The sequence below is a fragment of the Homo sapiens genome, chromosome 2 (genome assembly GCF_000001405.40).
Source record: "Homo sapiens chromosome 2, GRCh38.p14 Primary Assembly".
NCBI lineage: Eukaryota > Metazoa > Chordata > Mammalia > Primates > Hominidae > Homo > Homo sapiens.
Genome location: NC_000002.12, coordinates 158,662,504 through 158,688,139, shown reverse-complemented (window position 1 = coordinate 158,688,139; position 25,636 = coordinate 158,662,504). Strand labels below are relative to the sequence as shown.

Below are 25,636 nucleotides of genomic sequence, written 5' to 3'. Positions count from 1 at the left end.
CAAGGAAAGCTTTTTTAGGGGTTTTGACTCAATTGCCAAGCTCCACTTTCCCAACTCCTTTCTCTTTGTTGAGGAATGAGGATGTGATGGTTGGAGCTCCAGCAGCTAGCCAGGAAGCCATGAGGATGAGGGTCCTACCCAAAGAGTAGGATAAAGCTTACTTTATGCCATGAGGGCATTTGTGGAACCCCATACTAGGAAGACAGACATTAGACTTTCTGTGGTCATCTCTTTATGTGGTAGAGGAAAAAACTACAAATAAAACCTCTTACAACTTGTCTTGTTGAAGCCTCAATTTTGGAATTTTTTTTTTTTTTTTTACTGCCAGCCAAATGCAGTTTCTCAGTGATGATATATCATCACCACACTCACTGATGTGGCCTCAGAGGACAATATTTGTAGCTTCAGGTGGTTTAGCATCAGCTTTTCTCCAATTAAGATGTTATATATCGACAGACCTGATTTCAATACCACTCCACCTCTCCTCTGATAGCCTTTTCCAAAGCAGTGTTAATTTTCAAAGAAGTGATTAAAAGGTTACGCAGAGATGAGAGGAAAATGAAAAATGAGAACCTCACCATTTGCAAGCTGAATAAACACACCATTATCTTTTGACCACAGTGAGAGACAAGAAGGAGACTGCTGGTCACTGTGGCCAGCCATAATCACAGTGATTTTGGTGGACACATATTTCATCCAGCCTTACTTATCTTTCATGTCTAGGAGCCATGGGAATAATACAACACAGGTCTCCAGCTTGGAGCATACTTTCATAGGAACCGAAGAAATAAAAGTGCAGAGGTCATCATTCAGTGATAGAACCTCCTGGTTTTTGTTTTTGTGAAGGCTCAAAATGCTTCCCTCATAGCACAACACAACCATTTCTACGATGGCCAGGACCCCTCCTGTGATCATCATTTCTAACCTGGAACCCATGAGGATTGAATCCTTTCCTCTGGTCCCCAGGAAACTGGGCACACCTCACTAGGTTCATTCTCACCTCTGGAAAGGAGAGAGCTGCCCTGGGTTGTGCTGGCACAACCACTGACTCTGGAGATCCGAAATAAAGACCCTAGAGGGGTTTCGTCCTCCCTGAAGTCATTTTATTAGATTATTACTCAGTGGGTGGCAGCTCCTCAAGGCCTTGGAAGCCAAACACATTACATTTCATTGCCAGCAAATAAAGGCACATTTCAGGGGGCTTCTGGGGAGTGAGTTAATAGTTATAAGGGATTTCTGAAGGAAGAATTGGATATGTTCCCACTGATCTCAGAATTACACCTTTGACCCAGCATAAGTTGTGTTTTATTTTCTAAGACAATGCATTGGTCAGCTCTGGAATCACTGGATGTGAATGGAGGGTGAAATAGCTCATCATATCATTAAGTCTTTATCAAAATTACCCCAAGCATTGGATGGGGCTTTAATAATGAAAGAGCTAGTTATGGCTCATGCAAACGATTATGACAGCACAAAATGCTTTTTAGTGATTTCGTTAGAATTAGGCAATAGCGATAGGCACAAACAGCCACTTCGGGGACATGCCAGCTGCTTCCAGCAAAGCTGCTGACATGAAAACAGGGAAAGGCACTAAAACAGACACAATCCAAGTCATAATCTGCTCGCTAATAATTTCCTTTTTGTGTCTGCAGCCTTTAAGGATTGTCCTGAATAAGGGTATTCATAAGGACAGAGAGTTAAGTCAAGCCATTACGCTGGGGCACAGCAAACTGCTATCACGAGGATGAATAAGGCTGGAGACCAAAGACAAGACTGATTAAAGGGTGGCGGAACTGATGAGTCCCAGCTGAGAAGCGTTCCTCTGTGTGGGTGGCAGCCCGTGCTGCACATGGTCTCTGAGGCCCAGTCCAGTTCTTGGCACAGGCCAGCAAAGGGCAGCTGTGTATCAGCGGTGGAAGCTGCCCCATGGAATTCCAAACATCATTTTTATCTTTGCTGCCCGCTAACTCCCTTCCCAGTTGCACACTAATTAAAGACTTTGGTTCCTCCACAGCAACGATGCCTTTTACCTGCCACAAAGTTCTCCTTTGAATTCAAAGTCTGCCCTGCATTTGTAACATTAAAAAAACCCCATTAGCTGCTCTGCCTCTGATTTCACTGACCTGTTTGTTTTTCTGCTGACATCTTTCTGGTGCTTTGATGAAGGGGCTTCGCTCCCACACTCCGTCCTGTGGCTTGGGAAGTACTGAGATGGGTGAGGTGCTTATTTACACAACTCTTTGGATCGTTAGGTAAAAGGGGTGACACACTTCTCACTCTCAGCAACATGTTGAGACAGGTGCCTGAGTGTTGCTTCTTAACTTACCTTCTTGTCAGCACACACCTGAATCTGTACAATCATAGCTCATCCAAAAGGACACCCCCTGTAGTGCTTTCCAAGTGTATATTTTCCAGAATTCTGTTTAAACTTAACTTGGTAGGCTGTGTATAGAACTACAAAGGCATTTTGTGCTCAAACCTTTTGTGTAAGAAACTATGTTTTCTAGGCCAGGCATAGTGGCTTACACCTGTAATCCCAGCACTTTGGGAGACCGAGGCAGGCGGATCACCTGAGGTTGGGAGTTTGAGACCAGCCTGGCCAACATGGCGAAACCCCGTCACTACTAAAAATACAAAAATTAGCCAGACTTGGTGGCAGGTACCAGTAATTCCAGCTACTCAGGATGCTGAGGCAGGAGAATCACTTGAACCTGGGAGGTTGGAGGCTGCAGTAAGCCCAGATTGCGCCACTGCACTCCAGCCTGGGCAACAGAGTGAGACTCCATCTCAATGGGGAAAAAAAAAAAAGGAATTATGTTTTGTTTATTTTTCTTAACTCATGGGAGACTAATAATCAAAATTTTGATTCTAGTTCATAAAACTAAGTCTCAGACAATGTTGTGTATTTCCTTACTGATTTTTGAAGAAATTTTTTTTTATTGAGGCAAATTGTATATACAATGAAATGAAGATCTTATGTGTACATTTTGATTTTGTTTGTTTGTTTGTTTTGAGAGAGTTTTGCTCTTGTTGCCCAGGCTAGAGAGCAATGGTGTGATCTCGGCTCACTGCAACCTCTGCCTCCCAGGTTCAAGCAATTCTCCTGCCTCAGCCTCCCGAGTAGCTGGGATTACAGGCATCTGCCACTACACCCAGCTAATTTTTGTATTTTTAGTAGAGATGGGGTTTGGCCATGTTGGCCAGGCTGGTCTCAAACTCCGGACCTCAGGTGATCCACCCATCCGGCCTCCCTAAGTGCTGGGATTACAGGTGTCAGCCACCATGCCCAGCCTATTTTGATGAGTTTTGATCAAGGTATACCCCTGTGTAACTGCCACCCCAACCTAGATACAGAACATTTCCATCGCTTAGCTCTCTAGTCAATACCTAGGGCAACCATGATTCTGACTTCTACCACCTCTTCTTGAATCAGTCATGCTTTATGTTCTCTTTTCTGCAACTTTCTCCTGCGTTTGAGCAGCATATTTTTGAGATTCATCCATGTCTCTGTACTGTGGCTCATTCTTTTTATTGTAGATTAGTATTCTATTACATGAATATACCATAATTTTATCTATTCTTGGATATAACTTTTGTTTATCCATTCTTCTGTTGGAGATTTGGGTTGTTTCTAGTTTTTGGCAATTATGAATAACGCTGTTAAAAACAATGGTATTTTAAAAATCTAATAAGTGAATAGCAATGGCCAAGTTTTCAAATGTCTTTTCCTTGTAAGCCAGTTTGATCATGGAAATAAAACCACCATCCAATAGGTTTGGATAAGTGTTCCATCAAATGTACTGCTGAGGCCCCCAAATGGGAGGGTTGCCTAGTGACAGATTTTTAGTGGCTTATATTAATAGGCATAGCTCACAGCATTCTTTTAGGGGGAGTTATCAGCCAAACCTAAATCATCACACACATCAGAATAATCAGAACTCAAGTTTCCCAAAATGAGGTTCATGTAACACCAGTGGTGGTAGACAAGATAAATTTTGGTGGTACGTAGGCATTTTTTTTTTTTTTTGAGATGGGGTCTCCCTCTGTCACCCAGGCTGAAGTGCAGTGGTGCAATCATAGCTTACTGCAGCCTTGACTTCTTGTGCTTAAGTGATCCTCCTGCCTCAGCCTCCTGAGTAGCTGGGATTACAAGTGCATGCCACCATGCCCAGCTAATTAAAAACAATTTGATATTTTTTATGTTTAATAGTTAATTGTTCATTTTTATGGTTACTAAAAAAGTATATGAGAAAACCATCACTTGCCCAAAGTTTATGGCAAGTGATGGTTTTCTCCTTTTAGAGTAGTAATAGAAAGTCCTTTGGCAAATTTGAAGCAATGATGAAAAACACTTTGTAGAAGTTCAGCTGAAACTCAAATTATTAAATATGAAAACCACTGGCAATGTAGTTGAGTGTAATGCTAATGGCCCCTTACTGGCTGTATGATCTTCAGCAAGTTAGTCTTCCAAGTTTGCTTCAGGATATGTTAAATGGGCTGTTAGTACAGATGTCACACATGTGCTGTGAGGGTTAGATGATAATGTATGTGGTACTCTGAGCACATAGTCAGCAGTCAATAAAGTGACCTGTTGGTATTTCAGTGCAAGAATCAGCATCAGGTGGACAACAGAACACTGGCCAGGGATTAATGATTGGAACAGTTACGGGACTGTGTGGTCATCACTTCTGATACTCATGGACTTCAAAGGACATAACCTTAAACAAGTGTGCGCAGGCAAAAAGACATACTCTGGCAAAAAGAAAAACCTCACATCTGACTTTCCAAGTTTAAGATCTCAATGATAACACTCCAAATCTATCCCTCTCTTCTAGGCAAACTCCGCACCCTAAACCCCAGCTGCTAAATTTTCAGGTGGTGCGGCATGAAGGGATGGAGGGAGAATGGGGAGTAGTACCAAGTGGCTCTCACTGGACTGTATGCTGTGATCACCCAGGGAGCTTTTCAGGAATACTGATGTCTGGACACCACCTCTGTGGTTTTGAGTGGTCAGGGTGGGGTCCAGGTGACTCTTAATGTGCAATCACGGTAAGGAAACCCTTGTTTAGCTCACTGACATTGGCTCAGTTCAGCCCTGACCCTCTGGAACAGGGTGGAAGTGGGCTGAATTCTATATGCTACTTAGTGACGTAAGGACAGCAATAAAAAGTCAACTTTGTTTTAGCAGAGCTTGTTTATTCCCACACCTTGAAGGAACAGTAGGCTTTGTTTTTTCATCAATGATGCACTTTTGTATCATTCAGGCTGTGTCTGCAGTTTCTTTTCTCTGGTCTCAAGGGAGGAGTCTTAAACGGCATTAGATCTTCTGCCCAGTCCCCGTGTACAGGCCTCTTTCTGGCTCTGTTAGGTCTGATTGGAGACCCAGGTGAGTTATTTTCAACCCAAATTTGGATCCGTTTTTGAAATGCTGCCTGTTACAGCATTACCCCAAACTAATGCAGTCACTAAAAGAAAGTTATTGTCAGTTGGCTTGGGCTGGCTCCGATTCCCTTGTTTTCCTGATTCCCCAACTGAGCCTTCAGCTTCAACCCAGATCTGAAGATACCAGGTTCAGGGAAGTCAGTGATTGGAAACTGAAGTGGTTACGTCCCAGAAGTCCTGATGCCAGTTCCTCAGGAACATCTGGCGACCTCTGCCATCTAACAAGGGCTGTCTGCTGAGCTCCGCCAGGTATGAGGCAGCCAGGGCTCAGTAGCTGGGCAGTCGACTCCGCAAGCTGGCTCGAGTGTTCTTCAGAAGGCACCCCAGAAGGGCTCCCGGCTTGCAGATCTTAGGAACTTTCATGCTCGCACTGGTATTTCCATTTCACTTTGGATGCTCATCTTGGGCTGCTGTCCATTCGGCAAGAAAACGCAGTTTTCTCTTGGGTGTCTTTCCATATACTCACAAATATAAGTACAAATGTTTTAATCTGCGATTTGTATTACACTTGCAGGGTATATTGAGCTAAGACAACACTTCTGGGTTTGACTTGCCATGGGCGTTAGTTCCTAGTTTTCCTAGTACAGCTACAGGTAAACTAGTTCCTAGTTTTCCATGATGGCACTTAACCAATGTGGCATTTCCATATTTACACCAACAAAGATCCAGGAGCTAGGACTGAAGGGTGGAAACTGCAAGACCTGAGAAGGCCTCAGACTTTGGGCCTGGTGTCCCTCATTGCCTCCACAGATGGAGAAAAGCTCCCAAGTAATGCTGTGTGGTGCTATGGGGACCTCTGCCTACCCTACTGTGGGGCTTCTTTCCCCTACCCCATTCCTAATCCAGGAATTACTCAACAAGATCATAATTTAGAATTTGTTTTATTATATTGGTGCCAACCAAATAAATGCCCAACCACTGTTCTTATGAAGTTACTGAGTTCTTAAAAATGATGCCTAAAAAAGGTATCAATTTAGTTATATCAATTTAGTTATGGCCGGGCTGCCATATAGAAAAACATGATAAAACTGTGAAGGGTACTAGATTTGAAATAGATTCCAAGAAATAAAAATACCTAGATTGTCAGAGAAGGAAAGTTCATAGCTTAATTCTTTGGTGTGGTCCATCTCACAAAGTATATATAAAACTAGGAAAAGTCCAAAATAGTTGGATATATTTAAGCTGTTTCCAACATGCAGTTAGATTTGTGTTTATTAAATCTGCTTTTCCATATACATACAGAAAATTTAAAAAGAATAGAGAACACATTTCCAAGGATGAAATTTCCACATTTATTTTTCTTTTATGTGAATAGAAAATGGCAGTGAAGTGTCCTATGAATGAGGCGAGGAATGGGCATGGCGCTGCGGTACCAGCCTGGACGTTGTGCTTCCAAAGTACACTATGTGTGGTGGAGACAAAGGGTGTCGCGGTTTGCTTTTAATTGCTCACAGTTCCTTGGGCTTCTCATTTGTTTTTGAAGTTGTCAGTTTCTTCAAATCTCTTTTCAAGTGACACATTGCATTACAAATGATGGCACTTAACCAATGTGGCATTTCCATATTTACACCAACAAAAGAAATTTACAAGACATAATAGCATACAATCTTGACATTTAGTAATAGCAATAAAACATGGGCATCCATTTTATTTTTTCTGTACAAACTATCAGAACATAACTTTATTCACATTAAAAAAATCATCTTTAATTTGATTTGACCTACATATCCCCCATTTCATTTCACCCATTTCTCAAACCTCTCATCACGTCACCCACACCTTCACCAGACTACAGAATCTATAAGTAATTAGATCTAACACCTAAATAGAGCTTAGAAAGTCCTCTCCCAAACATTTCCTCACTTCCCTGATAATTCCTCAAAAAAGAAAAAAAAAACACACTTCATTCATTCCTTCCACTTCACTTTCACATTTCAATCATCAAATCAGCAAGATGGACTTTTCACCTCAATCTGAACAAGGTTAGAAAGAAAGAGTTCCTCTGTTGGGCATCTTGATGCTACACCCATGAGTCTGGGGACCCTGGGTACTGTTCTGCTCTATAAGAAGGTCGTTTAGTGGAATAAAAGTCTACATAATTTGTGGTCGATTTCAGTCCATACTGTGTTGAGTAATCAGTAGAAGCTGGAAAGTGAACTCGGTCATCAAAATAAGGATCTTCATAGCTATGAGGAGACTGCAAATACAATCTGTATGCATCAAAGTTCTTTCTGTTGGAGTCATCTTGACTATAATACAGCTGTTGATGCTGTTGACAAAATGAAAAGGCAAATAAATAAAAGCAATTTTTTAAAAATACATGTGTTAGGAAAATTAATGTGGGCTTCCTGCTTCATATTTTTAAAGCAATATTCAATATTTGCAGTTTAAGGTTAAAAGCTGTTTCTGGTGCACACTATGCGTTTACTATTGGACTCTAAGGATTTTAAGCTGCATTCTCAGGCAGGCTGCTGAGTTTCCTGTCCTAAGACCTCTAGAGAAGCAGGTGCCTCAAGAAAGCCTGAGATCTCAGGGCAGGTGGCCCCAGAAACCTCCCCTCTTTACTGGAGGCCCTGCTGTGTGCTCAGCTGTGGAGGCACCTGTTACCTGGGCATGCCGAATGAGAGGATGGTCTTGATATTTGGTTTGACACAGGGGAATTATTAGCACATCACTAATTTAGTCAAGGACTGGGTTTCTGGGCCTTGGATAATTGTATAATTACCGAACCATCTTTTAGAACATTTACTTCAGATATGAAGATGGAGTCCACCCCTACATTTTAAAAGATGTATGTGGCTAGGTGAACAACAGTCACACTTTGGAAACTCTGCTGTAAGTTGTAATATTAAAGGAATAAGCAATCTCAAGGCAGAAGAATAGTAAAATTAGGAGACACACGTGAGCAAATATGGTTCTAGAGGAAAAGGCTTCCCCAAGCCAGGGCTAAGTCCATCTGTAAGTGGGCAAGACCAGGCACACGTGGGCACCCACACAGGGCACACTGCTCTCCATTTCCTTTTGTTCAGTCTTAGCTTTGACCTCACACTAATTTCTTCAAATTGTGATGGTTATTATGTCTATGTTCTTGATTATGCCCAAATCCCCCTACTTAGTAAGATGTAACAAATTTACCACATAGAAACCAATGTCATGTCCTGGAACTCAATGCATTCTAACATTATAAGGATTTCAGAGCTAAATTCTCCTTTCAAGCCAGAGTTATGATTCTGGTCTATTTTTCCTGACTAAAAAACCATAGCATAAATTATGAATAACTTGGAAAGTTCTTTTTCTTCCACCTACAGAGAAAAGATGACGAGAAGGAGAGGTCTTAGAACACATCCTTATCTGAAGGACAGGATACAGTCTTGTTTTAGGAAACTCCAGCTGCTCTGTGTCATTGAAAGGGAAGAGGAGAGACCAGATGGTCCAAGTTCGCCATGGCACTGGTAAGGACCTGAGACTGACTGCAGGCCCTTCATGAAAGCAAAGCCTGGGTGTGTTATAACCGCCAGTCCCACTCTCCCACAGTGAGGTCCATCCCGGCAGGGGCTGAGTCCACCTTGACCACTGAGACAAACAGACCTGGTGATGGACTCAGTGTTTTTAAATTGTGGAGCTTGGACAGGGAGGGGCGAGATGGAGAACGAGGTATACACAAAAGAGAACAATGTGATGAGGGCATGAAGTGTGCTTACCAACCTTCCCTCACTCAGAGGCTGGAAGAGATTTTAGAGCTTAACAGAAAAAGAGTGGGAAGAGGACACTGCTGGGCAAAAGACATGAACTAAAGACTTCTCGGCTGTCCCCATCAGTGGCACGGTGGTCTCAGCAGTACCGATGTGGATACTCAAGAACGTGAGGCTACCGTGGAAATGCTTTGCTTAAACCACACGTTGAGTTTCCAAGGAGTGAAGATCCCCAGGGAAAGCATCTAGGACCCTGCCATGTTGGCCCAGCTCTGGGAAGTCAATCGACGTGGACCCCTTACTGTGTTAACTGCTAATCAGCCTTCTGTAAAAATGATATTGCAAATTCACCTGTAGCCGTCTATTTTGTTCTCTTGCTGGTGAGGAATAGGAACTGATGTAAATTGGTGAAGGTTTGCTGGAGCCTGTAAGAAAATATTTTATGAAATTAAAACTAGTGCTTATTACTCTGGTCCATTAGGCTGGGTGGTCTCCCCTGCACTAGGGCTAGCACTGTCCCCGACAGGGCCTGTCTTCCCCAGTGCCAATGCGGGCTGGGAGAGGTAGCAGCTCAGGGTCCCTGGATCTGGCCTGGCTGCTGCTTACCTCAGGGCTGGTGGGGGCTAATGGCAAAACTATGGCAGAAACAGGCTGTGTGTGTTTCCCCAAAAAGCAATGCCAGTGCAGAGCCCATGCGCAAAGGTTCCTGCTCAAGCTCTGCTCACATGTGGGAGGGTTTCTCCAGCTGGCTTTGGACAGCAGCACGGGATCCTGAGCTGAGGAACACTCCTTTTCCAGGGCTCTGAGCTACGGCAGTGGGTCAGAGAGGAGAAGCGAAACACAATATTCGAACAAGCCCCATGCCTTCCAAACAAACAACTGGGATTCAAAATCTCAGGTCAAGGAAGGAGCAACAATGGAGGCACAGTCTTGTACCTGGCATATTTAAGTATGTTTTAATACAAAAGGAACTTGGTAATAATGAGATAATTGTCTTCAAAAGTCCATAGTAGACTCCTGATGATGTTACCCTTCCATTATTATTAAGGCTAGCAAAGATTTTTATTTTTTTAATGAGGAAAATGAAACGTAGTTGAGGCAAATTAGTTTATTGAAGCAAGCGAAGAAGATACAGAAGGGCATGCATGCTAAAGAGGTGATCTGTAAGATAAAGCAGGCTGCTGCAAATCGGAAGCAACCATGCACTTCAGTTGGTATGTGCATTTCCTTTTGCCCAGAGCTTGGTGTTGAAATGTAGCATCTGCAATTTTCTGAGCTATTAATTGCCATAGTAACAACAGTCGATTAGTAAATAGTCCTGTGAAATCACAATTTCAAAGACAACAGTACAATGGAGACTGCCCCCCCAGCAGGAGTAAAGCTGCCACCAGCTTTTATTTATTTTTAATAGACAGGTTTGAGAAAAGAGTACTTTTTGTGGGGTAGCTCACACTGACTTATTTGGAACATCTAAAGTAGTTATAATCGCCAGACGGTTGAGAATGGGAACAGTATGAAATCTTAGTAACCCTTTGGGCTGGTATCCTTTAAATAAATTGTATGCACAGCTTTCTGAATAGGATATAAAAATATTAACACTATGTAACATTATTTTTGTTATTCTTAAAAAATAATCACGTTGAGAAGAATCACATTATACCTTTTGCTATTTATTCAAACTCTTCTCCATGAAAATGTAAATGAAATTGATCTCCATTCTCTGGTTTGAATTTAAGAGATGAGCCAGTCTAGAAGATGTGGCCCCTGCAAAGTGACACTGGGCTGACGGTTCTGATGCATGTGGAAAACACAGAGACTGCTCGAGCCAGGAGGGGACGGAGCAAAGGGACTGTGCCAGTGAGCAGCCAGAAATGATTTATTTGGATACAGCCCTCTTTTTATTTGTGCCCACCGTACAACTACATACATACATACATACAAACAAGTACATGCTTGTTTTACTTTAAACAAGCAGAAAAGGCAACAATCCCCAAAGTAGGAAAGGGAATGACTGGAACATGGTTTGCTGCTGGGGGACTGTCTCAATACAAGCACAGGCTACTTCCCAGGCCACTGGCCAAGCGCCTGGAAATGCGGCTTTTCAAGAGACTGTATCACACACCCAACTGGCGTCTTACCAGGGTACAGGCCTTTATGTGTGGCATCCCCTTGGCTATTGTAATACTGCATAGGTGGCTGGGTCCTATCGTATTCAGAGCGAGGGTCTCTGATTCCTAACAGTGCTGGTGAGGAAGAGGTGCTGCCGACTGAAGGGAGAGGCAAAGGAGGAGAGAAAGAGGGGTAGAAAGAGAAATCAGCATCAGTATCTGTGGAAAATCCTCTCCAGAAACACAAAGCTCAGTAACTAGAAATGACACACAGCTGGTGCTGAAAATATCTCAGAGGTGCTGGGAGTGGAAGAGCAGCTAGACCCAAGTACTGCAAGTGCTACCTGCATGCAGGCCTGCCACTGCACAAATCAGCAAAGTCAACACCGGGGCTCACTCTCAAGCTGGAGGGCAAGCTGCCCGGCTAAAGAGGCACAGTGTAGAGATCATGCAGCTTTCCCCACTAGTCTGTCTCAATGTCTTGACTAGGCGTTTGAAACTGAGTGATAATAACTTACTAGCCATGCAAGAGTTATACTTGTTATTTTATGATCCCAGTTCAGTTGCTTGCAAAATACCCACCTATTATCCTTTATGTATAGCTCTTCAGCCAACAGAAGTTTTATGGCATGTTTTGATTTCTAATTATTTCCAAAATATCCACATCTCTAAACATGTTTGAATAAAAGCACCCATTCTATAAAATTTATAATTCTTTTTATGGTGATCAAGGAAACAATTTAAACCCAGTAAGCCTGGCTCATTAGGAAGCGCACATGGTGCTAAGCCCTGACCTCAGAAAGGCCCAGAGGACTGAGGACTGTTTTACCCCAGCTTCAGCCAACATCTAGTAACACCGTATCTATCCTTAGGACTCTTTTTGGACACTGTGGCACAGAAAGAAGAGAGAAATATTTCACATTTTTTCTTTTTCTTATTAAAAAAATCATCTTGCTTCCCCTAAAGTTAATTTCAAATAAGAGTGGCCACTTATTCACTTGATACACTCGAAAGCAACAGCCCCCCAAACCTTGACACCAGTGGTTTTGCATAAATTGACGCTTTCAGAGGAAGACTGACAATGAAATACTTTTCCTAAAAAGTCACCTCACTGACATAGGATTGTTCAGTGTTAAACATGTAAGCATGTATGGACAATGTCTATGTGCTGCTCACCTTGCTTACTTTCCAGAAAGTAGTAGGACAGAAAGCATACCCGCCTGCCTCCAATGACATCAGCAAGGCATCAGACATGCCCGGAAGCAGATCCCACACTAGTGTGAAGGGATGCATTATCAGCCCTTAGAATAACTGGAGAAGCAGAAGTGGAGTATTCCCTACCACTGACTAGAATCCCAAAAGGCACCTAGGAATTTGAATGGGGCTAGCCAACACTGTCCAGCAGGTATATTTAAGGGGTCCTGAAAACAAGGTCACTATTCAGTAACTATGTGCTAATGATCCAGGGGTGTGCAATCTTTTGGCGTCCTTGGGCCACATTGAAGAGTAATAATTATCTTGGGCCACACATAAAATACACTAACATTAACAATAACTGAGGAACTAAAAAAAAAAAATCACCAAAAAAATCTCATAATGTTTTAAGAAAATTTACAAATTTGTGTTGGGCCGCAAAGCCATCCTGGGACGCATAAAACCCATGGGCCGCAGATTGGACAAGCTCGTACTAATCTAAAATTATCCTTTGCTTGTCTATGTGCCTTTTGTTATAGAGCCACACATCTTAATTTCCCTGGCACCTCTATTCCCAAGACCCTAAAAGGTTCTGAGCATTTTTCTAAAAGAAAGCAGTTTCAGGCTATACCTGGGAGCTTAGCAAGGATGTTAAAAACCAGACACGTAGGTTTCTTTCAAGAAAGCAACCCATAATTTAAAAACTAAGATATATACCATACACAACAAGCACAGACAATTAAAAAAAATTCTAGTTCAAGTGGGGACATCCAATTATGTGGCAAGAACCACTGGCCATGTATATTCGTCTTTTTGGCCACATTTGTCCACATGAGAAATAAGACTGCCAGCAGTAGCACTGCTGAATAAAATAGATAATATTTAAAAGTCCAAATGGGTGACTTAAAGCCAAATAAAAATAAGATACTTATTATTTTTCCTTTCTCATTTTGGAAAGAATTAGATTTATAGGACTGATTGGCTTGGCAGTAATAATCTGCCCTTACATGTAAAAAAATTAAGTCTGAATCTCAAAACATTCTTTCCATCAAGTTAAACATTACAAAGAAGTAGGTAGTATGGTTGCCAGGATTCCCAACTTAAAAATCAAAAGGAATTCCTACAGACCCACACTGTAAGGCCTGCTTCCATTAGCAGCAGATGCTGGGGGTCTGCAGAGGAAGGAGGTTTAACTGGAAAGCAGGCAGCTCTCCCAGGTTGCGGATCTGAAGACCTTAAAGGTCCTCTGGTAAAGGACCCTGCTTCTAAAAGGTTTCACTAAGAAAACTTAAAAAAATTCACTTTGGAGGAGATTCCAACCTTATGGCCAGCTGGCATACAGGGCAGCCACTTTCAGGCATAACCCAGTGCGTCTCGAAGTGTGGCCCTCCACTCTCAGGCACCCCGATCCCCTGTCCAGTCTGTCAACTGCAGGTTTCAGGGCCCCTTCTCACACTTAGTGAGGCAGACTTGAGGGCAGGGCCTGGGGCGCTGTTGCTGATGTAAAATTGTATACACTTTTAAAAAGGAAGAAAGTGGGCTTGTGGTTTATAATGGTGTGTGATTCCTACAGAAGGTTCTCTGCTGCATGGGTAGTGTTGGAGATGACAGGCTTAACCAGCTTATGTTTGATCTTCTCTGGCTGGGGAACAATGTTCTGTCACACAAAGGTTCTCGCCAAGGAGTGGCATTTTCCCACTGACCTGACTGAATGATGGGTGACATCTGTTGGTTGGTGGTAGACAAGGAAGGATGTGATTTGAATCGGTCTCGCTCCAATGTCGACACAGGTGTAATAAAATGGTTCTGATTCCACCCATCCTGCAGAGTTAAGAGAAAAAGAAACCTCTCAAAATGAATAATGACATTTCATTACAATAAATGATTATGAGTGTGTGCTCTGATGAATGCTAATTATGCCAGAGCTATTCTTGTAGGTTACCTTTTTATAAATGCTCCGGAGGTCCCGATATTGCCATAATGTATTCAAGACCTGGGCTGCTGCCTTCACCACTTTCAGAGATGATCTAGGTAGAGAGCAAGGATATTAATGAATGTGGGTGACACAGCCTCAGCCCCACTCAGAGGGGTGCAGGATGAAAATCAGTGGCCAACAGGCCATCGCTCTCAGGGCCACAGGGATGGAGGCTACTGCAGGACACACCACAAAGGGACCAGGTGTGCCTGGGAGTCGATCAGGTTCGGAACTGGCAAGAGGTGGCAAGAACTGAAGTGAGGCCATCAGGCAGTGAGCTCTGTGGAGCAGCTGTGGCCGGGACGAACCTGAGCTGAGGATCTCTGTAGGTGTCAGTCCCAACCTCCCTCCGAATCTTTACTGAGGGCCACTGATCTCACTGGGGCTTTGGGATTCATGCAACCATGACTCTACATTCTGAGTGTCTGGAGACCCTCCCAAGTGAGTATGTTTTATCCCTCCTTCTTTATTAAGCCTTCATCTAAATACCTCCATTGCCTTATCATTCATACCTCTAAGTAGACTAATGTGCGTTCTAATGTTGAATTTGGAAAACATGGTCACAGATATTATTTCCCCTCTCTGAGGACATTTTGCAAATGCTGGTGCTCTGCTTAAGCATAGCCAACTGGATTCCGAGTCACTGGATTCACCTTGGGAGCTGCTGCTGTTAAGTCAGTGGCCTCACCAGTAACTGAAGAGGGGACTTCCTGCCTCAGCTAAGGCCCTCAGATCTCTACATTTGGGTGGTACTCATGGACCAGTGCTTGCAGAGTTAGCCCTAAGGACAACTGAACACTTCAATCTTAAGGCTCCTTTGACAGTTTGACTTCAAATGTATATACCCGATCTAAAATCTGGTTTTCTCTTCTACTCCGTTATCTTCCCAATTAAACTCTCATGAAGTGGAGGAGGACAAGGGAGGGGAGCAGGTGGTGAGCTACTTCCTCAGCCCCTAACAGAACATGGGTTGCTAATGATTCTGAGGGTTTAGGTGAGCAGAGCCAGGTAAAGCCAACCCACTCAAAGCCTTTCTAACCTTTTTATTTCCAAATTGGACTATGGAACAGGCAATAGCTAAATACCCCAAAGAAATAAACACAGATGAAATTTCAGGCACCCAAGACAGCCTCTGGAAGACAGATTTGGGGGAGCAGGGCACTTGCCCCACATAGCCACCCTGTTCTCAGCTGGGCCCGGCCATTGCTGCTTTGTTCACCCGTCTGTCTTTAAGTGCTAGGCAGCAGGATGAGGCTCAAAAGGCAGATTCCACAGCTGCCTGGTAGGATGACAACTGAAACACTCGACCAGGCAGGACTGTGCCCAGGATATGCCTTGACAAAAACAGACTACATATTTTCAGACACAAATTCCATGAGCAGAAACCTGACCCATGAGAAAAGCAAGGAAGATTCTTTGCTCTCCTTTGCAGCAAAACTCCTTGAAAGAGTTATGTACTTGCATCTCTAATTTCCACCATCCCATCTTCTCTTAAATATAGGACCTCCATATTGTTACATCCGAAGGTCAAGTTGCAGTCCTCATCCTGAGTCACTGTATTTCACCTTGGGAGCTGCTGCTCTAAGTCAGTAGCTTCACGGATAAGTGCAGAGGGGATGCGGTGCCCTGCCTTGGCCAAGGCCGTCAGATCACCACGCTGGGGTGGGCCTCCTATACCCCTCACTGGCTCTGCTCCAGCCCCACCGGCTTCCCTCTGTTCCTCAAGCACACAAGGTCCTCTAGCTTCTCAGGGCTCTCTCACTTGATGTCCCCCTCTAACCGAAATGCTCTTCCCCCAGGGAGCTGCACTGTTCCTTCCCTGCCTCCTCCAGCTCTGTGCTCAAAAGGCACTGTCTCTGCAAGGCCTTCATTGACTAGCATTCCTCTCCCCAGCATGGCCCACCACCCACCCTGACATTATTATGCGCCCTGCCCCTCAGCACCACCCACCACGCTCCACGCGTTTCTGTTCGTTTGGCACCTTGTCTGCGTCTACCTCACCCATGGAACGTAAGCTACCTCGGGTGGGGCTGTCATGCGACCTGTCTGCTGCTGCAAGCCCAGCATAGAGAAGAGCGTCTGGCACACAGCAGGCAGGCAGTAAGTACTTGTGAAAGAAGTTAAGTGTGTGGAGCTAGGAGACAATTTGATTTGGTCCAGGACTTTCCGAATCTCTGGTTTTGAAAAACAGATTAGACTGGGTAGCAATTTTCTTAATATGGAAAGGTTCTGGCACTGGCTCAGCATCTCAGCCTCTTCTTATGCTGCTCACAAGTGCAGGCTGTCCAGCGACATTTTAAGAGCATAAGTGATTATGGTTCCACTCACTCCCCTTCCCAGCCCTCCCCACCCCCTATAACCATTTATTACTAATTAAATAGAAAAAAATACATTTAAAAAAAAGACTGAAAGGAAATATCATTACTGCTGATAGGTGTGGTTTCTGGGAGATGAGAATATGGTTTTAGATTATTCTTATATTTTAGAAACTCCTTCAAAAGTATAAAGATGAGATGTAATGTGAGTTCCAGCACTGTCATTTGGCCAATTAATAAATATTCACCAAACACCTGTTATGAGCAGGCCAGGCTTATTCTAGATGCCAAGGATATAGCAGTGAACCGAAATAAAAATCTCTGCAATGGAAGAGTCAGGTATAAGAGGAAGACATAACTTCCACAGCAAGGGGAAATCAGCGCTATGGAGAGAGCAAAGCAGGGGGTTTGGGGGAGAGGGCTGCCATGCTACTGTGGCTCAGGGAGGTTGCTGTCCTGCTGTTCTGAGATGGCACCAGGCATCCTACTTACCATTTCTCTGATCTGATACTAAGGCAAACTTATAGTCACTGCTACAGCTCCATGACAAGCAGCCTTCAATTTTTACCACTGATTCTCTAGTCCTTCCTTCCTGCTTAATCAGTGAGGTGTCATGCAGAAGCAAAGGGAAATGCGCCATCCAAGCCTGGGGCACATCCTGAGGCCACACAGCAGCCCTGCTGCAGAGCAGTAATTTTAATACTTTCTGGGTATGTGGCAGAAAACTCAATTCCAGAACTGGGGATTCAAGAAGACGTTCCTGCAGAACAGGCACTCAGGCCTGGAGCAGAGAGACAAGGGCACAAGGGAAATGGTGCCCCCTAGATTTTTCTCATCCTGGCATTTCCAATTCTTCCAGGAGTTGGCATGACCAGTTGTGGCTTTAGGGACTGCTATGGTCTGAAGGTCTGTGTCCCTTCCAAAGTTCATATGTTGAAATTCCAACCCCCAAGGTGATGGTATTAGGAGGTGGAGCCTTTGAGAGGTGATTAGATCATGAGGGTAGAGCCCTCATGAATGGCATTAGCACCCTTATAAAAACAGGCCTGAGACCTCTCCCTCCTTCTACCGTGCAAGGACAGCTGAAAGGCACCATCTATGAACCAGAATCGGGGCCCTCACCAGACACCAAATCTGTTGGTGCCCTGATCTTGGATTTCCCGGCCTCTAGAACTGTGAGAAATAAATTTCTGTTGTTTATAAGCCACCCAGTTCACAACATTTTGTTACAGCAGAACAAACAGACTAAGACAGAGACAAATACCAATGTAGGAGTGAGGGTGTTACAATAAAGTGAAAACCAAAAATAGGCCCCATAACAGAAAACACTTCTCCCAGCATAGCAGGTTGTAAGTGCTGGAGACTGCTTAGCTTATCGGCATGTAAGAAATGCAAAAATAAATCCTTTCCAATAGGAAAGGTATCCTCAACAAAGGCCTCATCACAGGACAATCTCAGGAATAAGAGCACTGCTTGCACCTCCTTGCCGCAGACTTGCCTGTCGCCCCTGCCTTTGGTTATGTTCACCAGCTTCTCTATGCCTCCTGAGTCGGCCAGGGCTTTTGCGTTCTCCATGTTTTTGCTGGTGACCTCGTGCAGAGCACAGCAGATGGCTGCCATGGTCTCATCAGACAAGACACTGGGGCCATTGCCGCCGGGGAGCCGGTTGACCAGGTCTCGCATGGCGTATTTGCCTGCCAACGGCAAAAGAGTAAATTCTACTTCCAGAAGGTACTAGGTTTTTGTTATTGTTGTTCAGATTCTGGTGGCATGCAATCTCTTAAAAATAAAACCCCCAAAGAGACAATAATAGGGGAAAAAATCAAAACCCATGGCAAAGAAGAAAAGGACAAATGTCATTATAAGGGGAAAGCTAACATTTATTGCAACGTCACTTGCAGAAATGATTCATTTATAAAACATTACTGTCAATTGCTGAAAGCAAATGTAAATCAATGCGTAAAATTGGGTAGACAAATCAAGTTACTTTCGTTCGAGTATTTTCAGTAACATTGAGTAATGAAGGAATTATAATAGTAAATTTTATTCTCAATGGAATTCCTATGCATCACAAATACCTCAATTTCCTCTTAGAGCTTTTTAAAACTTACCTTTGAATCTGGACCAAGTCAGGCTGCCAAACAATACTTTTCGTTAGATCTTTCTGGATCTTAATGTATGAACTGGGTACAGTTACACATTTTTGTGTATAGAGCTGAGGTGTACAGCAACTCATCTGACAACGGTGGCAACATGTTAGTTTCTTTAAAAGATGACACAAGTAAAAGTTCTGGTATTAAAATTATAGGTATGTTATCTCCCAGGAATAATGCAATAATAATGAAATTCTTGCTAAGACAAGGCAAGGGGAGTTTCACAGTTATTGAGGTATTTCTTTATAGATACTGAATTTTTCTTATTCCTCTCCAAAAAGAGATTACCTCTAGCTTTTTCAACTTCGATTACCAACTGACAAACTGTAAGTGCACTACAAACAAAAGAAATGAACTAAAGTGCAAGTAAACATCTTCTTAGTTCTCCCCTATGCTAATAATTGAGTGGATGTGCAATCGCTTTTTATAAAGGCCTGTTTATTTACAGTGGTAAGCAGAAGAAGACAGGTCTCAGCTACATGCTGTGTGATGTACAGCACGTCAGAGGGAAGGCTCTGGCTTGCTCACGACAAACACTGCTATGAAGAGTGGAAAAACAGTGCTGACACTGTAAGGCCACAAGATAAATGTGGTTTTCAGAGCAGATGATAAGTTAGCTCTGGTGATTTTGAATACTCATGAATGACCAAAAGGCCCATGACATGTAATTTGTCATTTTGCTAAGGCATAACTTTAAATTGCACTCCTGGGGGTTAGGCCGAGGCAGCTCACTCTGCCTATGAATGAGTGAGCCTGGCGGTCCCCTCAGAACTTGCAGCTCCAGACAGCAGGGTGGGTCCCACTCAGTTGAGTATGTAGTAACTTTTATGAAGTGATAAAACTTTGCTTCTTTGTGAAAAATGGCTCTGAAAAGAAAGTCCTTTGCTAGTGCTGATGATGAATGTGAAAAAAGAGGGAAGAGGTCAGAGAAGGGGAAGGTTCCTAGGAACTGAAGTACTGGGTAAATTAGAGCCAAATACTGAATCCAAGAGTGAGGCAGATCTCACAGGAAGACGGGAATAGGGAAACAAAAAAACAGACTGATGGAACAGTTCAAGAGTGCTCCAGCCAGGTTAAAAAAAAAAAAAAAAAGCTCATCACTGGAGAGGCAGAAGGCCAGTGGAAGTTAAAAAGGGTTATTCACAGAAAACACAGAAATGCACTGAGAGGAAGCCAAGACTTGGAACACACATTCCTCTTGCCAAAGGTCTTAGCACTTCACAGTACCAGCTCAAGGACTCCTGTCTACCTGTGTCTTTGCGTTGTGAAATATGACAGGCCACAGGATATACGTGTCAACCATTTATTTTTTAGCATTAAAAATGCCCAAATTATACATGCTTCTTATAAGAAATCCAAACAATACAGACGTAAGAAAAATAACTTTAAAGAATATCTCTCTTTAGGGACCTGAAGGATTTCTGTAAAGGAAGTGTGGGAACTGAGAGATATGGCACATCTACAAGAATCAGGCATGAGCTGGACCATGAACAGGGTGAGGAGGAACTTCCTTTCCTCTCCGTAGGGGGATGATTTGGCTTAAAGGAATGGTGTGTTAAGAGCAGGTTAATCTGGGCAACAATTCAAAATAGCAATTCTGTCAGGCACTGTGTGAAGGGCTTCCATTGTAAGTCATCACGTTTAATCCTTACAGCAATTCTTTATGGTAAACATCATCGCCCTTGTTTCTCTCTCCTTCTCTCATGGCAGGTGTATTTTAAGTTTACTATAGATTCACATGAATCCACATAAGATCTTGTCCCATTTCCCCTCCTTCTCCCCTGACCTGTCACCAGCTGTGGGACTTGGCATGGAGCTCTCTCATTTCCTCTTTACAGCAAACCCAGTTAGGACAGCAGGCATCAACAGCTCCCCTTCAGAGATGAGGAGTTGCCTTTCATTTCCAATCTAGATAGAATTACGGAGCCTGAACGGGGTTATATAGGATACCCCAGGTTGCATGGCCAGTGAGCAGCACATCCTGGGAACGAAGCTCAGGTTTATGGGGGTCCCTGATGTCTTCTTTAGCCCGCATCCTGCCTAGGATGTGGCAATGCCGCAGAGGCAAGCAAGCTGCCTGGGGTGCGGAGCGTACAGAGGTCCTCACTGTTTGGTTTGTGCATGTGCCAACCCTACCTTGTACAAACCTGAGAGTAAAGGCCTCCTAAAATGTTGTGCCTTTGGCGCCTTGCTTAGCTCACCCTAGTCCTGCCCCTGCCCAGGGTGGAAATGATGTTGGGACAGTGGTTCTTCTCTGGGATAAAGATTTATACCAATGTGAGAGGGGAAAGCTACAAAACATTCATGTGATTTTTTATTTAGAGTATGGTAGTGTTGGTGAATTAGCAGGTAGCAGTCCAAAAATTGGAAAGGGAGATTAAGATTTTTTGTTGCTCAGGATATAGAGAACTCTCTTAGAAATGAGAGACATTAACCCTACTAGTGTTGTAAGGTACAACTAAAATTGCTGGCCTTTCTGAAAATTTACCTTCCCTAATCAATGACTAATTAATGAGCTTGCCTCCTGCTGAAAAAGAATGGTCACAAAACAGGAGTACTCAAATATGCCAAGAAACTGGAGACTAGGGCTCAGCTGTTAATGATTTTACAAGCCATATATTTATTAATCAAAAGAAGAGTTTCATGAATTTTGTAGCTGCTCTCACATTTACAGCTCATCTTGTCACCAGAACATACCTATGAGCTCCTTGTTGCGAACATCTAGTGCCATATTCCTCAAGGCTGTTGCCACGGAAGAAACAACTCTATCGTTATCCATTCTCAGAAGCTCCACAAGGATGGGGAGCCCCTTTTCTTTTCGGACGGCCGCCCGGATATATGCTGCAAACTAGTGAGAAAAATAAGGCAGGAAGTAACATAAAACAGAGTTCCAGTCTCATATGTTACTGTCACCTAAAAAAGATGTTTCCAAAAGATGAACTAATAGATTAAATGGTTTCTTTCCAATTGAAGATCAAATCTGTGGTGTCAGTGAAGAGAAAACCAAAGTTGGGGAGAAAGATAGGCTGGAATGACTGATTTAAAAAGAAATCCCAAAGCCTGAAAATCTCAAACCACCATCTGCCAGATATTTTTGTGCAGAAAAGAGAAGGCAGTGATTACTTTCTATCTCAGATACATAAACATGATTAAGGAAGGATCGTGTGTTTTCTTTGCAGTTGGTCCCCTGCCAAACCCAGAGGCTATAAATAGGATGGCAGAGACAGTAACCCATCAGCACACATGAAAGGAGAACCTGTCTCCATCAAGTCATTTTTTTTCTATATTCCCTGCAACAATATTTCGAGTTCAGAAACCTGTCAAAGAGATTAGTTGGAAAAATCCCTTGCCTCAGAAGAAAGGGAAATCTCCAGAAACATCCAGCATCATAATTCATACAGCCTGGTGAAAAAGTAAGTATATTTGTGTGCAAAATGCATTCTCACTCAAGATTAGTTAGCTGCTGATGCTGTTTTTTAAAAATCCATAGTCAAGAAATTTTTCTGTGACTATGAAGCAACTCTGTACTGTGAGTCAGTTTGTATATCTTATAAAATGGAAATGAGCGCTAAGTCATCAGTGAAACAACCAAAAAGAGTAACGTTAGAAAACGGTTCTTTAATCTTGTTTCCAGCTTTGAGCTTTAATTGACTTTTTCAACCAATGCAAATCATCTTTCAAATTTTAGGGTAATTGAAAGATGCTGCTCATAAAACATATACTTTCCTGCTGTGACCAAGACAGTAGGACAGAGATCTACCAGCCCTTTGTATTATTTCGAACATTAAAATATGTGATTGACCATCCAGTTTCTTGAATACCAACAGAATATTTTAATAATACAAATAAGAGGGAAAGATGCATTTCAAAGATCCTATTTATATTCTGCATATGAAATGCATACTCCTATTTTTCAAATCACATGAAATCTATGGGGGGAAAATGAAGTACATGACTGGTTACTAGGCAAAGCACTCAGGCAGTTTTATGAACTTCTCTCTGAAACCTGCAACAACAGAACCATCTCCTTCTGTCTCACTTGGAGACCTACCAGCCCAGCCCAGCCCAGCCCGTCTCCCTTCTGGAGAACTACAGTCATCACTGCTCCTGAAATAGCTTCTTACTTGATAACATCTGTGGCCACGATTATCTCATTTTCTTAGTGAAGGTCCAATATTTTAACTCACTATTGAAATCGCTTAGATATAATGTTTATATTTTAAATGAGCTTTGCCATCTAACTCTCTCACTAAATGATCCCAGACATGAACTTCTAAATAAGTCAAATCACATCGATTTCAATTACTGTCTTTTATTATCATCAAATGATCCTCTGGTCACAGAAGCTGAAGGTGAACGCTGTTCTACAACATAAATGTTTATAAATACTTATGTGCTGGGAGTATCTCACTAAATCCTCATAACCACTTTATAAGGCAGGTATTAATATTCACTTTATTTTAGGGAGGTGGAAACTGTGGGCAGAGCCCCTAGGCTGCCAGACGGTAAGCAGAGTGGCCTGGATTCAGAGCCAGCACTTACACACTCAGTCACTGGCACTTTAACTAGGAGCCACAACAAAATAACCACACCGGCTTAGCACTAGACCATAGTTATCGCTCTATATTCAACATAGTGGCCACGTGCACGAAACAAACCATACCTAGGCTTATCAATGCTTTTCACTATCTTGAAAACACCATCACCAAAAGATTCTCATTTTGGGGGGTTAAGGTGGGGGAAGAAGCCCACAGCAAGCATTGTAGTAACTCTACTAAAATACACCTGTCAAGAAATTACTAGAGGTTGAAAATGTCTCAGACAAGGACTGTCTGGGAAGTTGCTGGGGGACATTTAGAAAGTTCTGAGAACTTGCTTACAGTGGTAACAAAAGGAAACTGTCTTCAGTTTTCATACTCATACATTTGCAAAAAGATGCAGAAACCTTAGACACAGGCATGTCTGTAACGGTCTGAGAGGAACAGAGGTCCTCTATCCCTCCCCACAGTGCTGCCCAACCTGTGTTCTGTCCTGCCACTCAAGATTTCTCACCTTTGTATTGCTGCACTGGCTCCCAAATCCAATCCCTGCTTCTAACTCTCCCTTCCTCGAATCCACCTTTTGCACTGCCATGGAAGTGGGGGAGCAGTGATGATATTAGCCCGTCTCTGTCACTCATCTGCCCAGACTCTTTCGGTAGTCCCTCCTGTGTGTAGGTTAGGATTCAGCTCCTGAAGTTTGGCCTTCAGGCCTATCCATGATGCCTGGCTCCATGGTGGGCCCCAGTGGGCAGCCAGTAGTCCTGGCCCACACGTCTTCTCTGCACCACAAGACTGTCCTCCTCCTGTTGTCCCTGTTATCTGGATGGCTCCTTCCATACCACAGCCTCAGCCTCTACAGGCTTACTTTCACTCATCTTCAGAGATTCTGCCGGGCAGCATCCCCTTCAGGAAATCTCCTCCACGTCCTTACTCCGCTCTTTTCCTGACCTTCCCTTACACTGTGTGGCTGGGTTAGATGTCTTCTTTCAGGACCCCACAGCACATACATCCTGTGGCTTCTACACTGTGCTGGCACCATCTGTTTTTCTCACTAGCCTTCTGTTTCTCATAGTGAGGGACTTGTATTTATCTTTGTATCCCCAGAGCAACTGCTTGTCTCCCTTTTTTCCCTTTAACCCCTTCACACACAAGCTAAGTAGCTGTGACCCTTTCACCATCAGGGCTGATCTGACTGAGGCAGAACATATATATATAACATTTCAAGTTAGTTTGCAAAGATGGAAAGAAGTGTAGATAAGTGGAAGTCATCCTACCTTCCAGTTGCCAGCAGAGAGGTTCTGGAGAGACCCTGCAGAGCCTTCCAAGGTGGCTGGGTTGGAACTTTCTGCTAGAAGAGTCAGATATGGTTTTACCACCGATGGGTGCCACAGCATCTCAACCCCTTTGGGGGACTTCGACAGTCCTGGGATAGGACCAACTCCATCCCACTGAAAGACAAACAGCACACGTTAAATGGAGGCAGAATGAACATGATCTCCAATACTTGAAAACATTCACCTTTGCGGGACTCAGCTATAGCTATGCAGAAAATTTATTTTCTTGCCAAATATGTGATTCCTCACTCCCAGAAAAATTAAACTTGAGAGTCTCATATAAAATAAAATGCTAACTTGATCTTCTTGCGGAGTCCTCTTTTTCTTTTTCTTCTTCTTCCCCCAGCAACTTGGCTCAGAGTCTTTGCTGGGAGACTCTTTTCCTAGTAAGTCATCCAATTCGTTCAGTCCCAGTAACCGGGCCTGGGGCACCTCCAGCTCCAGCCGATAGGACAGGTTCCTCAGGGTGCACACGCAGTTCTCCACCGTCTGAAACCCAGCATGGCGTATAATTAAAAACAACTCGGCACATTAGAGCAAAACACTTCTGTACTGAACACTACAGACAGGAAATAAATGGGAAATATGAAAGAACTACTTTTTATTTATGAGAACTTGAAACAATCTGAAGAGAGAATTATGATTCTAGAGTGTTTGTGGAATACCCAGATGACAGGATGCAGAGCCCTTCTCAGTCCTGCTGAGGATTTGACTTCATGCCGACCGAAATGCTTGAGGCTCCGGCCCAGTGTTTCTCTTCAGGGCTGCTGCCGTGCAGACTGCACCCATGATGCTTGAGCCTCACTTCTCACTACTGCAGATCCTTGGCGTGACAACAGATGCCCCAACTCCCTCCCTGGGGACAACTATATCCCCAAGTCC

The 25,636-nt window shown here is 43.3% G+C and overlaps 1 protein-coding gene and 1 long non-coding RNA gene across 15 annotated transcripts in view; one reads left to right on the top strand and one right to left on the bottom strand.

Annotated features, from left to right (window-relative positions):
• PKP4-AS1 (PKP4 antisense RNA 1) overlaps nucleotides 1–25,636 on the top strand; it is a 76,666-nt gene that overhangs the window by 46,863 nt on the left and 4,167 nt on the right. The window contains exons 2-3 of the long non-coding RNA NR_135242.1: nucleotides 8,751–8,894; nucleotides 22,059–22,292. This is a non-coding gene — a long non-coding RNA (PKP4 antisense RNA 1). The remainder of the gene's footprint in view (nucleotides 1–8,750; nucleotides 8,895–22,058; nucleotides 22,293–25,636) is intronic.
• The window catches only part of PKP4 (plakophilin 4), a 224,478-nt gene continuing 205,552 nt past the window's right edge, over nucleotides 6,711–25,636 (bottom strand). For 10 of the 14 annotated variants that reach the window (NM_001377220.1, NM_003628.6, NM_001304969.3 and 7 more), the window contains 9 exons: nucleotides 25,052–25,243; nucleotides 24,695–24,868; nucleotides 21,577–21,727; nucleotides 18,225–18,420; nucleotides 14,379–14,463; nucleotides 14,140–14,257; nucleotides 11,273–11,401; nucleotides 9,486–9,559; nucleotides 6,711–7,711 (listed from right to left, as the gene is read on the bottom strand). In NM_001377220.1, coding sequence (NP_001364149.1) covers nucleotides 7,463–7,711; nucleotides 9,486–9,559; nucleotides 11,273–11,401; nucleotides 14,140–14,257; nucleotides 14,379–14,463; nucleotides 18,225–18,420; nucleotides 21,577–21,727; nucleotides 24,695–24,868; nucleotides 25,052–25,243 — 1,368 coding nt within the window. In that variant the 3' untranslated portion in view covers nucleotides 6,711–7,462. Of the gene's footprint in view, nucleotides 7,712–9,485; nucleotides 9,560–11,272; nucleotides 11,402–14,139; nucleotides 14,258–14,378; nucleotides 14,464–18,224; nucleotides 18,421–21,475; nucleotides 21,728–24,694; nucleotides 24,869–25,051; nucleotides 25,244–25,636 lie in introns of those variants that run through there. The other 4 variants (NM_001005476.4, NM_001377226.1, NM_001377225.1 and 1 more) reach the window with 2 other exon arrangements.